General features: G+C 33.9%; 3 long non-coding RNA genes across 4 annotated transcripts in view; 1 reads left to right on the top strand and 2 right to left on the bottom strand.

Moving 5' to 3' along the window:
• The window catches only part of DSEL-AS1 (DSEL antisense RNA 1), a 383,074-nt gene that overhangs the window by 115,316 nt on the left and 245,477 nt on the right, over nucleotides 1-22,281 (bottom strand). The window lies entirely within an intron of this gene.
• On the bottom strand, nucleotides 1,887-17,121 carry LOC105372172 (uncharacterized). Of its 2 annotated transcripts, XR_007066404.1 has the most exons (4): nucleotides 17,087-17,121; nucleotides 5,982-6,144; nucleotides 3,959-4,140; nucleotides 1,887-2,222 (listed from the first exon to the last, which is right to left on the bottom strand). It is a non-coding gene; the product is annotated as an uncharacterized LOC105372172 (long non-coding RNA). The 2 variants fall into 2 exon arrangements; XR_001753486.1 differs by lacking the exon at nucleotides 17,087-17,121 and having other exon boundaries at nucleotides 5,982-6,441.
• Nucleotides 17,253-22,281, top strand: part of LOC105372173 (uncharacterized) — a 94,828-nt gene continuing 89,799 nt past the window's right edge. Inside the window, exon 1 of the long non-coding RNA NR_188049.1 lies at nucleotides 17,253-17,296. This is a non-coding gene — a long non-coding RNA (uncharacterized LOC105372173). The remainder of the gene's footprint in view (nucleotides 17,297-22,281) is intronic.

The raw sequence follows: 22,281 nt of genomic DNA, 5'->3' as shown, positions 1-22,281 counted from the left end.
TAATTTACCAGGATTTCCTACTTTATGCCCTCCATCTTGTGTGTTTTTTTCTCCTTCCCATTTCTTTGCTCTCTCACAACATCCAACCATCATTTTTTTCTCTCATCCCTGCTGTTAACTAAGTTTCTATCCTCCACTCCTTCATGCAAGTAAAATCCTCTTGCATCTTCTCTCTCCTTTTAACTTTAAAACGTAGACATTGTAATACTTACAGGTAGAGCTTGGTCTTTTGTAGAATGCAAACTGGAAATTACAAAAATATTGTTCAGTTCAATTGCTAACCTATATCAATAATTACATAAAGGGTTCATCTTGGATTCAGAAATTTATTATAAAATGGCATAATTTCTTTTCCTGAGACCTAAATCCTTTTTATGTCTTTCAACAATTAATCACATTAAATTTATGAAGTAAATATAATATGCCATGTATATATACATTTATCAGTGCTTAGTGTGGTTACATTTTCTAACATCCTTTGAATGTCTCACTGTGACTAATTCTTACATCAGAATCTAATATGGGCAGTGACTCATGGAGACAATAGGAGAGGAGTCAAGGGACTGATTTTGATCAGTTGGTGGTTTAAAGCCCTAAGATGGTATTTGTATATTTCATCACTGCCACCTACCAACACCAAGGGAAAGGGGATTGCCATTATAACCCTCTTTGACATAAAATTTTCATGGATCTCTTTATCCTATTCAATTAAACAGTCTGTTGATAATAAGATAAGGTTTGGAAGAGATGGAAAAAGAAGCTTCTCATGTTCAAATATTTCCAGCTAAAAGTCTCAAAATGTTGTAAGACTGGAAGTGACCTTAGCGACATCATCCTTTCTGCTTCTTTTGCCAATGAGAAACTAAAATATGCAGGCTAACTCTTTTGTTCACAGCCATACTGTTCTTTGATGAGAGAACTGAGTCTTGGACCTAGTCTTCCAAATTCTTATACAAAATAGAGCAGGGAGGAGCTCTGAAAGTGCTTTGTATATATTGGGGCAGTCTATTTTCTGCAGTAAACATACTAAAGGAAGGCATTCTTTGGATAGTGTTAAAAATACCAGTCCCACTCTTTAAGAGATTATTGTGGAAACATAAGGAAGGACTGCCCACACATGGTAAATCAGTCTCCTTTCTGAATACTAACACAAGTGATCTGAAAACAGTGTGGATGTCACTCTTGGTATTCAGCCTCCTTTAGAAAATGTAAACCTTGAAAGAGCAAGGAAAGGCATTGCCATAGCAATTTTAAGATTTTACCTGCTGGTTTCCTGCCATATTCTTTGAAAAATGAGCTCAGAGCTAATCAGAGTAGTCCTCAGGGGCATGTAGGAATAAAATCTGTGCCTAAATGAAAATCTAGGAATAAATAATGAAGAATTATATTCCCAAGATACTCCCATTGTAGAAAACTGCTGTGGAAACCTAGCTATATAATACTGGAAAACAAAAATGTAATGAATTTTGTGTAGATCAGAAAGTAACAAAACGTGAACACAAACATCTTGTAGATTTCTTGTTTGAAATAAAATTTCCATTCATTTCTTACCAAGCATTACTACTTCAGTTTCAATATTCTTGCTTCTCCCTTTGTAAATTATATTTAAATCAGTGAAATTAATTTAAATACACAACAGCTTCTTTGTAAACAGCTAAGTTGAATTATTTTTTCAGTAAAAAAAAAGAAGTAACTAATTTTAATTATTAAATAGTTGTGTTAGGAGTAAAAAGGCTTATTGGAATAAAGAAAAATAAAATAAAGTGAAATGATTGTGTTGTTTTTAAGAGTTTATTTTGCAGCAGTTGCTTACATCAAAGTATTTTAAAAATAAAAAAAATCATTAAAATAAAAACTGGCCCATTCATATGGAGAGGAAATTTTCCAAGCAGTATTAATTCTATAGCCCAAATTCACAAAATATTCTCCATCTTTTCCCTAAAAATGGTATTAAAATGCTTTCTACATTTAACAGTGTTTGTTAACATGCTTGTTTTATTTCAGAATGGTATATGAATGGTTCATTTATTTATATTTTTATAAACTCAGAGAGACATTTTGGTGTGAAAGGTAGATCCTAGAGAAGTAAAAATGTCTAATTCTCTTATTACCCACCATGATCCTGGAGCTAGAAGAGTGTAATTTTATTCTTCCCTTCAATTACTTCTCACACTTGCTTGTTAATGGCTTCCAGGCTCTGCCAGCACACTTGGAATTACTGACTATAACAAAGATGATAGTCATATTTGTTGGGTAAACAATAAACAAACAAACAAACAAACAAACAATAATACCAGTTGAAGAAGGGGACATATTTGAAAATACCTTAAGTGACAATTAAAATTAACTATAATCAATTTTGCATGAAACCTTTGTGACTCCAAAGACTGTCTTGTTTTGTTTTGTTTTCTTATCTCATGTGGATTTAGAAAGAGAAAATAAGCAAACCTATTACTCTCAGAGGGTACAGTGAGTTGTAATAGGGAGCAGGTGACAGTTCTGATTAGGCTGGCAAACATTTCCTGACCTGAGCAGGTCTTTAACCTTTCTGCTTCTTTAGGACAATAGGTGAAATGGATCAGAAAGTAAAATGTTTACTTAAATATCTATAATGTATTCAAATTTTTAGGCAGAGTCTCCACAGATATGCATATATAGTCAGTAACTCCTATCTGAATATTATGATTATATCCAAGTAATAATCTTCATAAGATATCTAGAATGTTTCCTTTCTTTCATATTTTAAGAACCCTTGTGGCTTTTCCTTTTTAACACTTAAAAGATTTTTTACCATGTAACAGTTCATCACTAAATTTCATGAAACCAAACTTCTTAATAGATACATTGAGGGAGAAAGTCTTTATTTCTCCACTAAGGTCAATAGATTTTCTACTACAATATAAAAAGTTGCTAATATATTTATGCACTTAAGATATTTTGTGTTTAAAGTTAATGTTAGAAGTTGACTTCAACTTGTCATTGTCTTAGCATATGTGAAGCAGAATTGGGAACAGGGAAAATTCCATTATAAAAAAAGCTCTTGATTAATACACATAAAGTCATAAAAATGCATCATGATTCTTATTATCCATGGAAAGTATGCTTTCTGGGAAACAAATTAGTTCGTAATATCTTTCAAAAATTATGAAGTGTGCTCAGAGACATATTAAAAAATCTGACAGTAAAATGAAATATATTTAATGAAGCATATCATGGATGTTAAACTGAAAGCCATACCAGCTTCATTGTTGTTGGAGGCAATAGCTGCCTGATGTTTGGATATTAATTCCCAGTAAAGCTGGCATTCTGAAGTAAAGAAGAATGTTAAAGAATCTTAGATGCATCTCTGATGATATGCTTATTAGTCCACTTACTCTATTTGAGATAGATTGATTATACTTTCCGTTTGGAATCTATTTAGTTTATGTATTTGATTGCTAGAAGTTGATTTTTGCATACCTGCCACACAAATTCTTAGATAGGCTGGTGGAAAAAAATCATCAGAAATGTTGCATCAGATTAATTTCCTCCTTCTTACTGTATAGGCTATATAGTCAGTCTAGTGACAATTGTTTGGTCTGCAAACACAGACATTTAACAGCTGTTCAGTGTAAGAAAATGTTCAAGCTTAAACTTGATCATGAAAACAAAGAAACGTAAATTTGAAAAAAAAAAAGGAAAGGGGTCATTGTGAAATTAAAACACAAGTGAAGACTGGATGCATTCAGTGATAGCCATTTATTTTAGTGGAAATATTTATTTTAATGTACAGTTTTTGATTATCATTTTTTCCTAAAAGGAATTTGATTTTTACTTTACATAGAAGAAAAAAAAATTAGAGGATGAGTTAAAATGTCAGTTGTATATTCTGAATGCAGTTAGTTTACAGTTAAAGAAGGAAGGAGGGAGAAAAGGAAGGAAAGAGACATCTGGAATTCAAGTTTTTGCAAACCATCACCTTGCAGTCCTCTGTCTCAATCTTTTGGTTACGGGTTATTGTGTTTGTGATGATCATGTGGAGAGATGGGGTGGGCTCAACATCAGTTCCATCTTTTACTACTTCGTGATCTTTTCAGGTTGACTCATCTTTCTCTGTCTCATTTACCAGCAATCCAAAGTGAGACAATAATAGTACATGTCCTATGTGGATGATGTGAAAATTAAATGAAAAAATACAAGTGAAATGATCACCATAGAGCTTTGCATCTATTGTTAAATGCTCATGAGCTTTTGTAGTGGGAAATAGGCAATTAATTAAGAAAGTGATATAAAATAGTAATATTAAATGAGTCATATATGTTAGAAGCATTTTGAAAAGAGAATATTAATAAAAGTTCACATTTTTTCCATTGACAAAAATAAGTTGTTACAGTTTTTTAAAACAACCATTTAACTTTAAGAAACTATACTTGATTCCTTTTCCTTTGTTTTTCTTTTTTTCTTTATTTGTTTATCCCTCTGAGTATTTGATGAGCTGTATAAATATAGATGATTTCAATAGAAAACTACAGGTTTGTACTTTATGGATCAAAAGAGGATATGCCGGTATCATGTTCAACACTGATTTAACCTGATCTAATAAAGAATTTTAAAAAGAATTAAATTTGAATATATAAGTAAAATTTTGCATTTGGACCTCTTGCCTTATTCATACACACTAAATCTTTGTAATTGAAGATCTTACTTTAATTCTTTGTAGCTCACTGAAAAAAGAGGTTAACATAATCTACAGAAGGTCAGGGAATCAAAAGAAAACTGACAATTTAGTGAGCTCCAGCCTAAGTAAAAACAAACAGAATCCAAAGGCTTTCAATAACATACACCAGTGTGTAGAAGTTCATCAATTTGGGCTTTGTAATTTCATGCTTTTAGTCATGTTCATATCCTGCTTCTTCAATTATTTTTATTAATTACATCAAAATAAACAAACAAATAAGATCTACGAAATTGAAAGAGAGGGGGAACATGGAGGAATTCTTTCTTGTTGCATTTTCAGTTGTGACATTCTGGAGAAGAAGAATACTCTGTGTTAGAATGCAACGTAGTGATATTAAAAAAGAGAAAAAAATGAAGCACTTATGGCCTCCTGGGCATATTCTTAAAAGACAAAGTAGAACAACAGGAGCCAGGACATTTTGGTCTGAGAAACTGCCTTGAAAATTAATGTTAAAAAGGCATATGCAGATTCCAGACATCAGCCACCAGTGATTTTCGTCACTTCTAGACAGTTAACACAGAGGACAGGTCTTCGCCCTGAGAGCTGGGGCTACAGGTGAACTACAAAGATTAGAATGGCTTGAAATTCAATTCAAAATCTGTGCACATAAATTCATATGTGCATTATCCTGGAGACAAGCTCACAGCTTAGAATAGAAACTCAAATGGAATTAAAACGTACACATGCACGCGCACACACACACACACACACAAACACACACAAACACACACACACACACACACACACAGCCATCTAAAGTCTTTAATGCCTATAAGCTTTTGTTTACAAGTAATGGAATATGCATGAAATCGTTGACTATCACAACTAGGTAGAATATTAAAGGTCAACTAATTATTCCCCTTTCTGACTTTAGAGGGAGGAATATTGGAAATCTAAGATGCTAAATGACTCGCCCATGACAACAATAAGCAAACCTTTAAATGGCAGGTTCAAATATAGGAGCCGTGTTTCTCTCTCAGCATTTGGTGATATTTACAATATATAGTTACATCAGTTAATCAAAGTAATTACTATCACCTTACCATTAAGCATGCACCTAAAATATATCAGGCACCAATCTACATAATTAAATGCATTACATTGTTTAATTCTCCAGTGCCAATTGGCAAGTCTGACTTTATTAATTGGAGAGTTTGGGTAACCAGTGTGTTAGAGGCAGATCAAAAATTCTAAAATTCTCTGACTGTAAAACGCCAATCACATTATACTCTATTAATCTTTGCTATGTTGATAACTCTCCTACCAATAATATAAAACCATTTTGTATTCTCTTTTGTGCCTTCGTTTTTCAATGCAAGTTTCACAGTGCTGAGCATGAAGCAGGCTCTCAGGAGATTCCTGTTGGTTGAGTGATGATGGAGATTGTGGTTTTGGTGATATTCGTGATTTGGTAGCTACCCAGACTCCTAAGTGAAGGAAGTAAAAGAAAATGTACTTTGGAAGTATTGATCTCTCATTAAATATTGAATCTGTGCAAAGACAGCCAACAAGATGCTGAAAAAGTACATGGAATACCCATCAATTTATCACCCAGAAAATTAGATTTAGAAAAGAAACTCATTGACTTCTGAAAGCAATAAACCTTGGAAAAGTCACATTGACCCTCAGTCTTATTAACACTTTGAAATACACAGACAAACTCAAACTGCGAAGAGACTATTTTCTGAATTATTTTTGCTATTAGTCTCACTATTTTACAGGCTCATTCATTGATTTTTTTTCAAAAATCATAGATGTTTACTTTCATATATGATGAAACATATATATCATGTATGTTTACAAACATATATGTTTACTTTCTTAATTACATGTAAAGAAATAATTTAAAATAAAATGTAACCGTAGAAGTTGAGCAAACAGCCGTATTAATAAACACAGGATACGATTATGAATTGACAAAATGGAAACAATTTGCACACTGGTAGGTAGGCAAATCTTCCTCAGTTATCATCACCACTACTGAAATAAAAGGTATTCTTTGACTTAAAACATTTTAATTTTCAAGAAATATTTAACTTTTTTAGCTGAAGCCTTTATAAAATATTCTTTAACATCAAGTGGCTTGAAGAAAAGGACAGAATAATCACATGGGCAAAGAATAGTAGGTAAAAGAAACAACAGATGAAAAAGAGGTATATTGAAAAGGAGACTTGCAGACTAATGTTTGAGTAGACTAACACAAGGAATAAAGCCAAAATATTTCATGGGGCTAAACAATCATGAAAGACCCTATTTCAATAAAGTGCTTCTACTTAACTGCCTCTGACAGAGACTTTAATTGTAATATTTAGATTTAGTCCTTTACCTTTGCAATCCACTTCATATTAGGCCAAACACTTGAACTCAAACAAGGCATTAATTGTTAAAATATCTTATTTCATACGCTCCTGGTTTAGAGCTTCCTTGTCTATATGTGTCTCCTCGAATCAACTTGGCTGGCTGCCAATTTCATTTTGAGAAATATTTTTGACTTTAACTCATGCAAGAAATTGTATCCAACTTTGCTCTTAAGTCATAATTATACCAGCATTTCATTTTATGACCTCAAAAAAGTATAATAATTGATAAAATCAGTCAGGATACTTAAGGAGCTATCCTTCAATTTTCAATATATTACAGACCCTTCATTACGATGAATATCTAGGATCTTCAGGCATGAAGCATGCAACTGGAGATGTTTCGGAGATTGGGTTAGGATTCTCAGATTCCTCTGGAACGCTTGCTGCTCTATACTTTAATACCTAATATGCAGAATACTACATTTTGCTAATCAGCACACTGCATTTAAGATGCAATTTAGCTTCTGTAATTGAGCAGGATACATAATTATCTTATCCAACACTTTTTCCAGTCATCTGAAGACAGAAAGAATGGGCTTCCTCTAGCAAAGTTATCTACTTACTGTGTGTTTCCTACACATGTTCAAGTGCACTAACTGGGACTAGAACTCTGCTCCCTCATAGTACCAGTTGAAGGCAATGCGAAATGGCTAACCCATTTCACACTCCTCCAACTTGTTCTTAGATCTCCAAGGAACCAAAGTAGTAAGCATATAGTATGAATGCTTGGAGACAGGGAGCAAAAATTTCATCCTTTGTTCACATGTATATTGAGGTCAGGAAATCCTTACTCTGTGCACCTCACCTTACTCACCTTACAGAGTGTCATGGTAAATGTTTAGCAAGTGGTCTTTAAGATATAGATATAGATATAGATATAGATATAGATATAGATATAGATAGATGTGTGTGTGTGTGTGTGTGTGTGTGTGTGTGTGTGTGTGTGTGTGTGTACTATTTTATAGCATGGTCCATTTCCATGGTATGAATACATACACAGGGCTCATTTCAAAATATTGACATGAAGGAGATTTGGAAAAGGCTGTGCATAATCAGTGGCATACCACTTCCCTTAAACCATTACTAGGTATAAATATGATGCTGTTTGAGAATAGCGACATTACCACTCAAAGGCCTACTTATATTCCTATAAGAAATTGTTTGGCTAATGTTACCATATCCTTATTCTATATTTTACTGTATCTTTGGGCCATGGAGTTAAAGGTATCATATTCCCACAAGAGTTCTCTTTACTTGTTCAATTTCTATCAGCTTTATAACACAACATAGAACCATAATAGAAAATATATTTTATAAAAATTCTTAGATGATTAGTGTTTTCCATGACAGTATCAAAGGCTCAGATCCATGCAATCAATTATCTTTATGCTATTAGTCACGTCCTTCTCCTTTGAAATGATTGCCTGCCACCTGTTATTTCATTAAGTATTAAATCTTTGTTGCTGAGTAGCAAGCCAATTTGCTTTAGTGACTTTACCAAAAAAGCATTTTAAATGTCTTTATGAGAGCTGTAATTGCTTAAATTCCATGTTCTTTTACATTCCAGATAAAAAGTGAATATATGCATGAGAAATACATGGCAATAAAGATAATGAAGTCATTGGTTGTGCAGTCATACAACGCCTTAAAAGTTTATTCACAGCCTCAACCCTACATTATCACAGTGAGCATCTGTTGCAAACTTAACCCATTAAAACTGAGGATGTGTATATGGTAACCAAGCAAGAGCAGTTGTATTAATAATTTCATGAGGGAATAAGTTGTTGACATTTACACCTGTTACTAAACTGCCTTGAATTATATTTTTCTGTCTTTATATGTGAGATTGGTTTATAGCTGATCCCTCTATATTGCCATTAATCTGATCACTCAATTTGCATTCCCTAAGGGATCTCATAATCTAGATTAAGAACTACTTAATTTAGAGCTCTTAGAAACATGTTCTTCATAAGGCTATGCAATGTGCAAGACAAGTAATATATATTGCATTCAAGTTTTCTTAATATATTCACAGTTGTCAATAAAAACCATCATAGTTGTTGTTGTTGTTGTTGTGTGTGTGTATGTGTGTTTTGAGATGGATTTTTGCTCTTGTTGCCCAGGTTGGAATGCAATGGCATGATCTCAGCTCACTGCTACCTCCATCTTCTAGGTTCAAGCAATTCTCCTGCCTCAGCCTCCCCAGTAGTTGGGATTACAGGCATGCACCACCACGCCTGGCTAATTAGCATCAGAGTTTACCTCCAGAAAAAGATAGTAAATATCACTAACATCATCTTCTGGTCAAAGACAGTATTTGCTGGCCAGAGCAGACTCACAGCAGAGGTTATTTTAAGTAGGCAAGGTAGAATGCCACAGAGTTTACCTAAACTAATGGCAGTTTAGACAGTGTTTATTGTGAAGGTCCAATACAAGACGTTTGTTTCAAAACACTTTCTAAGCCCAGGCAGACAGAACATTTATAGACAAACAAACACACAACAACTGGTTGCAGAGGCAGGTTATTATTAGAAATAAAGATTGAGGATGGAAATTGCACAAGGAACTAAAAGTTTCAAACTTTGAAGTAGTATTAAAGACTTATGTATATATTAGACTAGAAACAGATTGTGGATCAAAGTTGAAACAGAAATTCTCCACCTGGAACACATGCTTTTTAAATAAGGCTGCAACTAAAAGTGAGGCCACCATTACTAGAGTGTAGGTTTTTAGGAGAATGAACTAAATTTGTGAAACCAACACAAAATCTCAATGTCAGCACTAGAATACTGAATCTAGCAGCAATTCAACAGAGAGGATGACTCGGTGTCTGAGGAGCCCTACAAGTGAAGGGCAAGAGTTAGCTGCAGAAATTCCCAGAGATATTTAGATATTGCTTGTGTCAAACCTAGATAGATCTCACTTAGGGAGAGAGCTGAATGTGGAGGGATGTCAATTTTGTGTGTAGCAGTAGTTGCAAAATCCAAGGCTAGGGAAATGAGAAAAGGCATTGTTGTAAATATAATAGTTTTTGCTTGTATTTATTGTCAAATTTTGTATCTTGTATACTATTTGTCTGTTTCAACACTTCAAATTGATAATGTATAGGAAACCAACTATCTTCTCTAGCTTTAATTTATAGATCCAAGCTCCTAGGACTGTGACAGATTCTCATTTGATGTCACTGGCCAAGGTTTCTAAAGATACAGATTGCTTGGTCTCAATACAATCCTAAAGTATTGTCCAGGAATCAAGCTATCTATCTATCTATCTATCTATCTATCTATCTATCTATCTATCTATCATCTATCTATCCATCTATCAGTTTATCTCCAGGAATCTATCTATCTATCATCTATCTATCTATCTATCTATCTATCTATCTATCTATCTCCAGGAATCTATCTGTCTATCTATCTATCTATCTATCCATCCATCTATCACTTTATCTCCAGGAATCTATCTATCTATCTATCTATCTATCTATCTATCTATTATCTATCTATCTATCTATCTATCTATCTATCTATCTATCTATCAGTTTATCTCCAGGAATCTATCTATCTATCTATCTATCTATCTATCTATCTATCTATCATCTATCTATCCATCTATCAGTTTATCTCCAGGAATCTATCTATCTATCATCTATCTATCTATCTATCTATCTATCTATCTATCTATCTCCAGGAATCTATCTGTCTATCTATCTATCTATCTATCCATCCATCTATCACTTTATCTCCAGGAATCTATCTATCTATCTATCTATCTATCTATCTATTATCTATCTATCTATCTATCTATCTATCTATCTATCAGTTTATCTCCAGGAATCTATCTATCTATCTATCTATCTATCTATCTATCTATCTATCCATCTATCAGTTTATCTCCAGGAATCTATCTATCTATCTATCTATCTATCTATCTATCTATCTATCTATTTATCTATATCTTAAAGATTTCTGGGTGATTGTGGTATATATTCAGGTATGAAAGCTACTGTAAAAAATGACAATGTTATTTAGAAAAATACTTGATATTAAAGAATTTAGACTTAAAGGCTAACAAGGTGAAAGTGAGTCAGTATTTGAGTAATAGGGAACATATTTCTGGAAAATGAAACATCTGATTGCAGAAGGTGACCTGTAACAAGAGAGAGACAAGGCAAGCAGTTTAAAAGGGAGAGAGAGAAAAAAAAAGCCAAGAGAGCTTTAAAACCAGAGCATCATTTGATTTGTATTCACCCAAGGAGACGGAAAATGATTTCACTTTCTCAAGTAAGAGTAATCAGCTTTCTGGAACCCTGGTGCTGGGGGATTTTAAGCCATGTAATTACAAAACCAAGAATGAGAAATCACTGCAACATAAAAAAAGGTAAAAGTGACAGCTATTACCTGGGTATATGCTACAAGATATCTAATTGTAATCAGACTTAAAAGCAAAATTTAAAAACAAAAGCCAAAAAAAAAGAACTATTTTACGTGTAGGCATCATTCCATAGGTTCCGATATGTGAGGAAAAATTCTTTAATGATAGTGAAGTCAAATGCCTGTTGTAATGGAAAGTCTTCATTCAGTAACATAAATGGTTAGGTAACAACAGGAGATATTCATGGAAACGTGTGAATGATTTAGAAGGGTTATACTATTAGAAACACGGATCATATTCTGAAGGTATACAGAAAACTTATATTTTTAGAGAAAAAGAGAAAGTATGATGGAATAGTCTCATGTTTAATACTGTTCACAATAGAGAAATAGAACTTTTAGCAAGTGGTGTTTAAATGCAGCTAATGGAAGTCACTACAGGAACCCTTAAATCCTTTCTGTTCTTCTAATAAAGCCGTTTGTACTTCTTTTAAGTATTTGAGAAAACCTGAGGTGAGAAGTTCATGATGAATCTCAAAAAAGTGCCTACAACTCAGTTTTCTAGATTTCAAATTTGATTTGAAAAGTTCCACAGGTGAGTGTAACATCTTTTTTCTACCACATTTCCTCCCTAAGTCACTAACAAAGTCAAAAAAACAAACAAACAAACAAAAAATAAATAAATAAAGACACTTCTGAGACACAGCTAAAAATCATAACAGAAGTAAGCATTAGAGAAGCATTTTGGATATTCATTCAAAAGGAACTGAAAAAATTGAAATCATAGTTTGTATATTCTTTGGGAGAGTGAATAATGAATTGAGAAATATACATATATAGCTAAGTACCAATCTTTAAAGTAGTTTTATTATTAGGAATTGGCAAGAGGAAATTAACCCAACGAAAGAATCTTGGAAGGGGTCTGTTAGGAAGGAATCTCAACTAGAGCATTGTGGAAGAGACCAGCAGGAGAAAGCCAGAGTTTCAAGCAAGTGTGGGTACATTGTTGTCAATTGCTCCTGCAACAAGAAAACAAACAAACAAACAAAACCAGACAATTCAGGAAAAACCTTTAGTGTCTTGATAATCAGAAGTGTCCACAGGGTGAGAGAGATGAGTGAAACAGAATTAGGGGATGAGTGGAGAAGGAAGTCAATGATTAAAGAATGTATTGATAGTTAATATAACAGAAGTTGAGGAATGAAAGAAAGGGTAAGGATATGAAGAAATGTTACGGTTGTGTAACGTGGAGAAAACACTTTTTTCAAATCATTACCTATGCCTGTTTTTCAGATGCCATTCAATGACCATGATAAATGTATTTCTAGCCCTTATAAGAGAGTGCTGAGTCATCATTAGCTGTAGACTGAATTTATATTCATTTCTTTCATCTCTTAGTATATAGTCATACCATGCATAGTAATATCTCCCTGCCTGCTTCCTGTAGAGTTTGTTGTTAAGGATAAAGGAATGTTGTAAGCTATTTTACAAAGAGCCCATTATGATTAATATTTGCAGAGAAGTTCTGTAGGGCCTTTGGGCAAGGTGATGGGCACCTAGGACCATGAGGGCATTGGGGAGCTCACGACTGAGCTAGCCAGTTTTGTGTGGGGACGTATCCAGTCGCTCTGTTGCCCAGGCTGGATTGCAGTGGTGTGATCTCAGCTCCCTGCAACCTCCACCTCCCGGGTTCAAGCAATTCTCCTTCCTCAGCCTTCCGAGTAGCTGAGACTACAGGCACATGCCCCAACATCCAGCTAATTTTGTGTGTGTGTGTATTTCAGTAAGGATGGGGTTTCACCATGTTGGCCAGGCTGGTCTTGAACTCCTGAGCTCAGGCAATCTGCTTGCCCCAGCCTCCCAAAGTGCTCGGATTACAGGTATAAGCCACGGTGCCAGGCCAGTTTTTTTGTTTGTTTGTTTGTTTGTTTTTAACATTCCTTGCAGTACTTCAAAGTGTATCTTCCTGAAGGACAAAAGAACATCTTTTTTTTGTTTGTTTTAATAAGTTGCTCCTTTGCCACAAATGCTGTCCCTGTGTCCCCAAGGTTCAGCCCACAGTTTCCGCAGCTCTGATTTCAAGGGGAAGCAAAGACGATATGACAGGAAATAAACCACACTTAAGTAATATAATAACGAGACTCTTGCTCTAAGCCACAAAATTGGGGCAAATGACCTGCTTAAAAGGGAGATTGTTGTCATGCAGTACTCAGCACAAAGGACAAAGCTGCTCATGAAGAGGATACAGAAATATGCAGACATCTTTTTCATCGTTTTCAAGAAAGTGACATAACTTCCAATGTGAAAACAGTTATATAAATCCAAATGTGACGTTAATGAAAAGTTATATTTTGGCATTTTCTGAGGGCATATGATCTGAATCCACAGCTATCATAATTTCTAAACACTTTTTGGTTTAATTAATTATGTTACTTTATGTAAGTAATATAAATGTATAATATGATCATTACACTTAAAATTTTGCTTTGTCTATTACTAATATTTTCACTGGAAATAAATACATAATTTCTTCAACTTCAAAAGAATTGGGGATAAATGATAGTGACACTTTTATTTGATGAAATGCCTGTTCTAAGTAAACAGAGAGTACTGAGCTATTCTTTTCCTTTAGAGATATGACATTACAGTTTTTAAGAAAACTAAATAATTGCAGACCTTATAACCTTCCAAGATCTCTATCTTCTATCTCTGTATCTACTATCTCCTTTCATTAAATAAACTATCTCCTTTGGTGCATTAAAAATGTTAACAAATTAAAATTGTACTTAAAATTAGTGATAAAATGACTATTTTTTTGTGTTTTAGTTATATTAAAATAATTTGAACCTTATTTTAAAGGTCAACTTTAGATTTGTATCTTTTTTCAGCTCAAATGTGGTGTTTATATTTCAGCCACGGCTTATAATTATTTTTCTGGAAGCAATGTTTATTTCCATTACTTCTGTAGAGTGGATTTTTCTGTTAGGCAGAGAGATGTCAAAATAAGAGAAAAGTACTTGCAATAAATAACTTCATTCAGAGACAAAATACCTTAGGTCAATTTAGATTTTATACAGCCATGCTCAGTAAGAAAAAAAAAATACTATCAAATCTGAAACACCAAATTCCATGAAATTTTATGGGTACTCTGATAAATTGACCTTTTAAAACATTAAAAAATAGCCTGGAGAAAATAACAGATATTATTAACAACTATATTTTTAAGAAAGCTTACTGTACTGTGTTTTCTTCAAGGTTACTTTTTTAAATATTCTTAAATGTGTTTAGAATGTTCATAATTTGACTGTGTTATGAAGCATGCACTTTGCATAATACATTTACAACACTATATTCTCTAATAATAATAATATACATTATTTTATTTAGATTGATACATATTTATACTTTGTAAAATCATTTTTTGTCTTATCTAAATGTTAATGTGATTTTATTTATTAAAGTTATAATCTCCTGCTAATTACACTTAAGAGGTTTAAATACAATTAGTATTAAAAGAAGATTGAACTAGATTATGTATACTCTTTTGTTTGTTTTTTTGTTTGTTTGTTTGTTTTTTTGAGACTGAGTCTTGCTCTATCGCCCAGGCTGGAGTGCAGTGGCGCTATCTCGGCTCACTGCAAGCTCCGCCTCCTGGGTTCATGCCATTCTCCTGCCTCAGCCTCCCGAGCAGCTGGGACTACAGGTGCCCACCACCACGCCGGTTAATTTCTTTTTGTATTTTTAGTAGAGACGGGGTTTCACTGTGTTAGCCAGGAAGGTCTCAATCTCCTGACCTCGTGATCCGCCCGCCTCGGCCTCCCAGTGTAGATGATGTATACTCTTTAAAAATAAAATAGAAAATATATTTTTAAATTCAGAATGTTTAACAAGAATTTATTTGGAAGGTAAAATGAATCAACATTTTACATGATAAACAAAATCTACATATAGATAATTTTCTATATTTTGTGAACCATTGATATTGGCCATGCATTTCTTACACATAGTTATTAGAATAAATTGTTATTGGTACCCAAAGTTGCATAAATTGGTGGTGGTCTCTCCTTTCTCATTAAAGAAACATTATATGGATAGTCCTATCAACTGTATTAATAATCAGCAAATGTAATCAATCTCAATTTCTATTTCCCAATCCCATGACATTTCACTGTCATTTTCTGCTCTTAGATAGGCAATAAATACAAAAATACCACAAACACATACACATGCTCTAAATTCATCTGCAGTTTTAAATGTGTGTGTATGGACATATATAAATAAAATTACACTTGACTCTTAAAGTTGAGAGAAAACTAGTTTAGTTATTCTCAATAAATCTTTTTAAAAAGTCAGTAAAAAGCATTTGTTAAATGTATTATTCAAGATAAATATAAAAAAAAATCACAATTCCCCAAAAATTGAAAAAATACAAAAATTTTAAAAAGCATACTACTAAAAACTTTTATAAAATGATAATATGTACAACAAATGTGGATGAAGACTATTTCCTTATTAAAAATAAATAGTATAAAATTTAGATTAAATAACAATAACACAGAAGCAGTTATAAGCTAAAACTGGGAGGCCAACACGAACTATAACTAGACATAAAGATGAAAAATAAGCAGGGGACAAAGAGGTACTAAACAACTTCTGTGATAGGTTAAGTTGGCCTGAAAATATTCATCCAGAATTTAATCCAAAATGTTAAACATATAAAAGAGGAATTTTGTGGAAAACGGTGGTTTCCAAGAATATATAAGGCCATCATCTTATATGTACTTAAAACCAGGATCAAAATATATACACCAAAAAACATTAGATATACAGGCAAAGGTAATGAGCTACAATAACATTTGAAAACTTCTATATAACTTTCAAATACCAACCGATTAAGTAGACAAATAGACAATTGAAGAAATACATTATTTTAAGAACATAGTTAATAGGTTACTATATTTGTATATTATTCATATTATTTGTATCTTATAAATATAAGAAAGAACATGTAATAGGTTTGTTTATTTGTTTGTTTGTTTTTTGAGAGGCTGGAATGCAATGACCCTGTACATAGCTCACTGCCACCTTGAACTCCTGCATACAAGCAATGCTCTTGTCTTGGACTCACAAAGTGCTGAGATTAGAACATGGAGTTTTGTGGTTTTTTAAAAAACTTTTAAGTTCAAGGGTACAAGTTTATTACATAGGTATATTGTGTCTTGGGAGTTTGTTGTACAGATTATGTTGTCACTCAGGTATTAAGCCTAGTACTCATTAGTTATTTTTCGTGATCCTGTCCCTCCTCTCATCCCCTACCCTCCAAAAGGCCCCGGTGTGTGTTGTTCCCCTCTATGTTCAAGAACATGGAGTTTTTAAGAGTTCATTTATTAATTGAGCATTTATTTGTCATCAACTAAAATTTCAATAAATTCCAAATAGAAGAAAACATATAGTTGACATTGTACTTTTTACCAACTAATAATACTGCAAATAGTAAAAATGTTTACCACTTCCCCACTAAAAGAAAGAATTTCTTCACTCTGTTATTTTCACTTGGACCACAGAGGACTAAGAACAGAAATTAGAAGCTGAATGAAAAAGAATACCAGTGAGAATAAGATACAGTCATTCAATACCTCAGAAGGACATGTTGGTCAACAGCAGACTGCCTAGTTGACAGTGGTCTCATGGGATTATAACAAAGTTGGAAATTCCCATAGCTGAGTGACCTCATAGCCATTGTGACATTGTAGTGCAGTGCATTACTCATGTGTTTGTAGTGATGCTGATGTAAAGAAACCTGAGCTGCCTGTTGTATAAGAGGATAGCACACACCATTATGAACAGTGAGTAATACTTGACAATAATAAGTAACTCTTACTGGTTTATGTATTTATTGTACTATGCTTTTATTATTATATTAGCATATACTTCAAATATGCTAATATAATAATATGAAGTATATGCTAAAAATGATCTAAATGCTAATATATATTTCCTTTTACATCCAGATAACTACAAACACATAAGTAATGCATTGCAATACAATGTTACAATGGCTATGAGTTCACAGTTACAGGAATTCTTCAACTCCATTATAATCTCATGGGACCACTGCCATATAGATAAAATAAATTATATACACATATAAGTATACATATATGTATAAAGTTAACTGTAAATCAGTCTCAGGCAGGTCCTTCAGAAGGTATTTCAGAAGGCATTGTTAGCATAGGAGACAATGAATGTTATTGTCCCTGAAGACCTTCCACTGGGACAAGATGTGGAGGAGGAAGGCAGAGAAATTGATGATTCTGATACTGTGTAGGTCTAGGAAAATGTATGTGTTTGTTTTTAACAAAAAACGTTTAAAAGGAAAAAAATTAATAGAAAAAATCTTATATAATAAAAATGTAAATAAAATATTTTTTCACAACTAAATAATATGCTTGTGTTTTAAGCTAAGCATTATTAAAAAAAAAAGAGTCAGAAAGTTAAAAATTAAAAGTTGGCCAGGAGCGGTGGCTCACGCCTGTAATCCCAGCACTTTGGGAGGCCGAGGCAGGCAGATAACGAGGTCAGGAGATCGAGACCATCCTGGCTAACACGGTGAAACCCCGTCTCTACTAAAACAATACAAAAAATTAGCCAGGCGTGGTGGCGGGCGCCTGTAGTCCCAGCTACTCGGGAGGCTGAGGCAGGAGAATGGCATGAACCCTGGAGGCGGAGCTTGCAGTGAGCTGAGATCAAGCCACTGCACTCCAGCTTGGGCGACAGAGTGAGACTCCATCGCAAAAAAAAAAAAAAAAAAAATTATAAGGTAAAAACACTACAGTAAACTAAGGTTAATTTATAATTGAAGAAAGATAAATATGTTTTTTTAATTGAGTGTAGCCTAAATATAGACTAGTCATTATAAATTCTATGGTAGTGCAAGCTAGCACCTAGGCCTTCACATGCACTCACTACCCACTCCCTGACTCACCTAGAACAACTTCCAGTCCGGGAAAACCTATTCAAGGTAAATGCCCTACACATATGTGCCATTTTTTATCTTTTATACCCTGTTTTTACTGTACCTTTTCTAGGTTTAGACATGTTTAGATTCACAAATACTATTATTTGCAATTGCCTGCAGTATTCAGTACAGTCATATGCTGTATACCTGCTTTGTAGCCAAGGAGCAATAAACTAAACCCTATAGTCAGGTGTGTATTAGGCTATGCCATCAAGGTTTGTGTAAGTACACTCAATGATGTTCATGAAAGGGCAAAATTGCCAAACGACACATTTCTCAGGACTGACCCCCATCACCAAGTGATGCATGACTGTATATATTGTTCAAGTGAATGAAATATGGCCTGAGAAGGACTCTGTACTTCCATATTTGAGTCCTTGTGGATGAACTGCAACCTAACCTAATAGGTAGACAAGACTGAAAACCTAACTTAGGAGCATGTGCCTGTAACAATAGATGAGTCTTGGCCAATCTCAGCAGCCGTACTTCAACCACTCATACACTGCTGACTGTTCAAACTGTGTTCAAGTAAGGCAAACGCCGAGCTATACCCAATACAGTTGTTTCTGTACCTCACTTTCCATTTCTGTACATCACTTCCCTTTCCTTTGTCTATAAATCTTCTTCCACCACGTGACTGTGGTGGAGTGTCTGAATCTTCTGTGATTCTGGGGGCTGCCCTATTTGTAAATCTTTCATTGTTCAATTAAAATCCTTTAAATTTAATTCAGATGAAGTTTTTCTTTTAACTATATATTTATATATTAAATATAGGATGCAAGTAAAACTGCCTTACAAGAAAGTGCATAGACCTGAAATCGTTACAAATCAAGCAATATTAATAATCACTTTTTTAAAAATACAAAACTTTTTGTACAATTTTTTCCGACAAGACTATTGGAATGACTTTCATCAAATGCTTCACTACTGCAAATGTATTTTACCATATTTCCAGCTTCCATGGTGCTGGACAGCCAGCCATGAAGTCAAGGACCTACATTTTTGTCTCAACAGTACCACACCTACAGACCCCAAATTAAATATTAGGAATATTAGGCAGTCTTTACTAAGGCATTCCGCTTAACAACCTAAAGTCTTTAATGGATCTGATGGTCAATTTTATATGTCAGCTTGGCTGGGACCCACATTAAACATTAAACATGGGTGACTACACACTATTTCTGGGTGTGTCTGTGAGGGTATTTGCTGATGAGATTACCATTTGAATCTATGGAATTCACAAAATAGATTGTCCTCCCCAATCTGAGTGGGCATCCTTCAATCCACTGCAAGCCTAAATAGAACAAAAGAGCAAAAGATGAAAGAATTTGCTCTCCCTACTTGGCTGCTTAAACCAGAATATCAGTCTTCCCTGTCCTTGACTGTGACTTGCATTATATGCCCTTCACTTATTAGAACTAAACCATCAGCATTCCTTGGTCTCCAGCTTTCAGGTAGCTGATTGTGAGACTTCTCAGTTTCCCTGACTACAAGATGCGTGAGCTAATTCCTTACAATAAATAACATACACACACACACACACACAATTGGTTTTGTTTCTCTGGAGAACCCTAATACAATGGCTTTTATACCATGTTATTTGTGGCTGTAACATGTTGACAACTGTGAGTTGGCCGCTGTCAATTGTTTTAAATCGTCCTTAGGACAGAACTGTGGAGCTTTTGGGCTATGCTGAAAAGCAGCTCCTATCTGAGATGCTCCCTCACAGCAGAAGGCAGAGGAGCAAAGCGTTTTATTCAGACTTAGTTCTGTAAGAAAGGGGAAGTGATGGTCAAGTTACACTTCCAAATGGAAAATTTTAAAAAATGTATCCCTATTTTAAGACATGCATAAACATCAATTATAGGTGCATTTTAAGATGATTTAAGAGTGTAAGGTATCATTATAAAACTGAAAGGTAAAATAGTACAATATCTTCATGAACCTAGAGCACAGAAATAATTCAAAAATAGGGCCTGAAATAGTTCAGCAATAATAAAAAGAATAATAAATTGGACTATTTTGATATTAATAACATTCATTCATCAAAAAAGTGATATTAACAAATGAAAAAAGAAAATTATATACCTGATACTGGGCTTATATCCATAAAATATGAAGAACTTCTATAAATCAGTTACAAATGGTATAATTTACTTTAAAAATTATCGAGGAAATATAGCACTTCAAACTAGAACAAAATCAGAAAAATATATGAATGTATGCTCAACTTTGTATGTCTTCAACGAAGTGCAAATTCAACCACAAGGAAATATTACTACAGGCATACCTTGGAGATATTGAGGGTTCAGTTCAAGACCACCACAATAAAGAAAATATCACAATAAAGCGGGTCACACAACTTTTTGATTTCCCAGTACATATAAAATTATGTTTACACTGTACTCTAGAGTCTATTAAGTATGCCATAGCATTATGTCTAAAAAAAGTGCATGCCTTAACTTAAAAATAATTTATTGCTAATAAGTGCTAATGATCATCTGAACCTCCATCAAGTATTAATATAGTTTGCTACTGGAAGGTCTTTCCTGGATGCTGATGGCTGCTGATTTTTCAGGGTGATATTTGCTATAGGTTGAGGTTGCTGTGGCAATTTATTAGAATTAACAATAATTTTATAAAATTGACAACAATGAATTTTGCTACATCAATTCACTCTTCCTTTCATAAATGATTTCTTGGTAGCATATGGTATTGTTGGAGAGCATTTTACCCATAGTAGAATTTCATTCAAAATTTGGGTCAATCTTTTCAAACTCTGACACTGTTTTATCAACTAAGTTTATGTGACATTCTAAATCTTTTGTTGTCATCTCAACAATGTTCACAGCATCTTCACCAAGAGTAGGTTTCATCTCAAAGAAGCATTTTATTTGCTTATCCATAAAAGCAACTCCTCATCTGTTAAAATTTTATAGTGAAGTTGCAGCAATTCAGTCATATCTTCAGGTTTGACTTCTAATACTAATTCTCTTGCTATTTCTACCACATCTGCAGCTACTTTCTCCACTGAAGTCTTGAAGAAACTCAAACTCAACTGTAGGGGTTGGAATCAACTTTTTCGAAACTCCTGTTAATGTCAATATTCTGACATCCTCCCATGAATCACAAATCTTCCTAATGGCATGTAGAATGGTGAATTTCTTCCAGAAGGGCTTCAAGTTACTTTGGCCAGATCCACCAAACTAATCACTACCTATTGTGTTATCACCTTACAAAATGTATTTCTTAAAATATTAAGACTTGAGAGTCGAAATGACTCCTTGATCCACAGTCTGCAGAATTCATGTTGTGTTAGCAGGGATGAAAACAGCATTAATCTCCTTACACATCTCTATCAGAGCTCTTGGGTGGCCAGATGCATTGTCAATAAGCAGTAATATTTTGAGAGGAATCTTTTTTTTTTTTTTTCTGGGCAGTAGAGCTCATCAGTGGTCTTAAAATATTCAGTAAATCATTTCATAATCAGATGTGCTTTCATCAAGGCTCTGTTATTCCATTTATAGGATATAGGCAGAGTAGATTTGACATAATTCTTAAAGATCCTAGGATTTTATCCATGGCAAATGAGCATTGGCTTCAAGTAAAAGTCACCAGCTGCTTCAATCCCTAACAAGTCAGTAGGCCTGTCTTCGAAGCTTTGAAGACAAGAATTGACTTTTTCCCTCAGCTATGAAAGTCCTAGACAGCAGCTTTTTCAAATATAAGGCTGTTTCTTCTACATTGAAAATCTGTTGTTTAGTGCAGCCACCTTCAACATTGATCTTAGCTTGATCTTCTGGATGACTTGCT

Source organism: Homo sapiens, chromosome 18, assembly GCF_000001405.40.
Source record: "Homo sapiens chromosome 18, GRCh38.p14 Primary Assembly".
Classification (NCBI taxonomy): domain Eukaryota; kingdom Metazoa; phylum Chordata; class Mammalia; order Primates; family Hominidae; genus Homo; species Homo sapiens.
The sequence above is the reverse complement of the archived record's forward strand: the minus strand, read 5'-3'. Positions and strand labels throughout refer to the sequence as shown.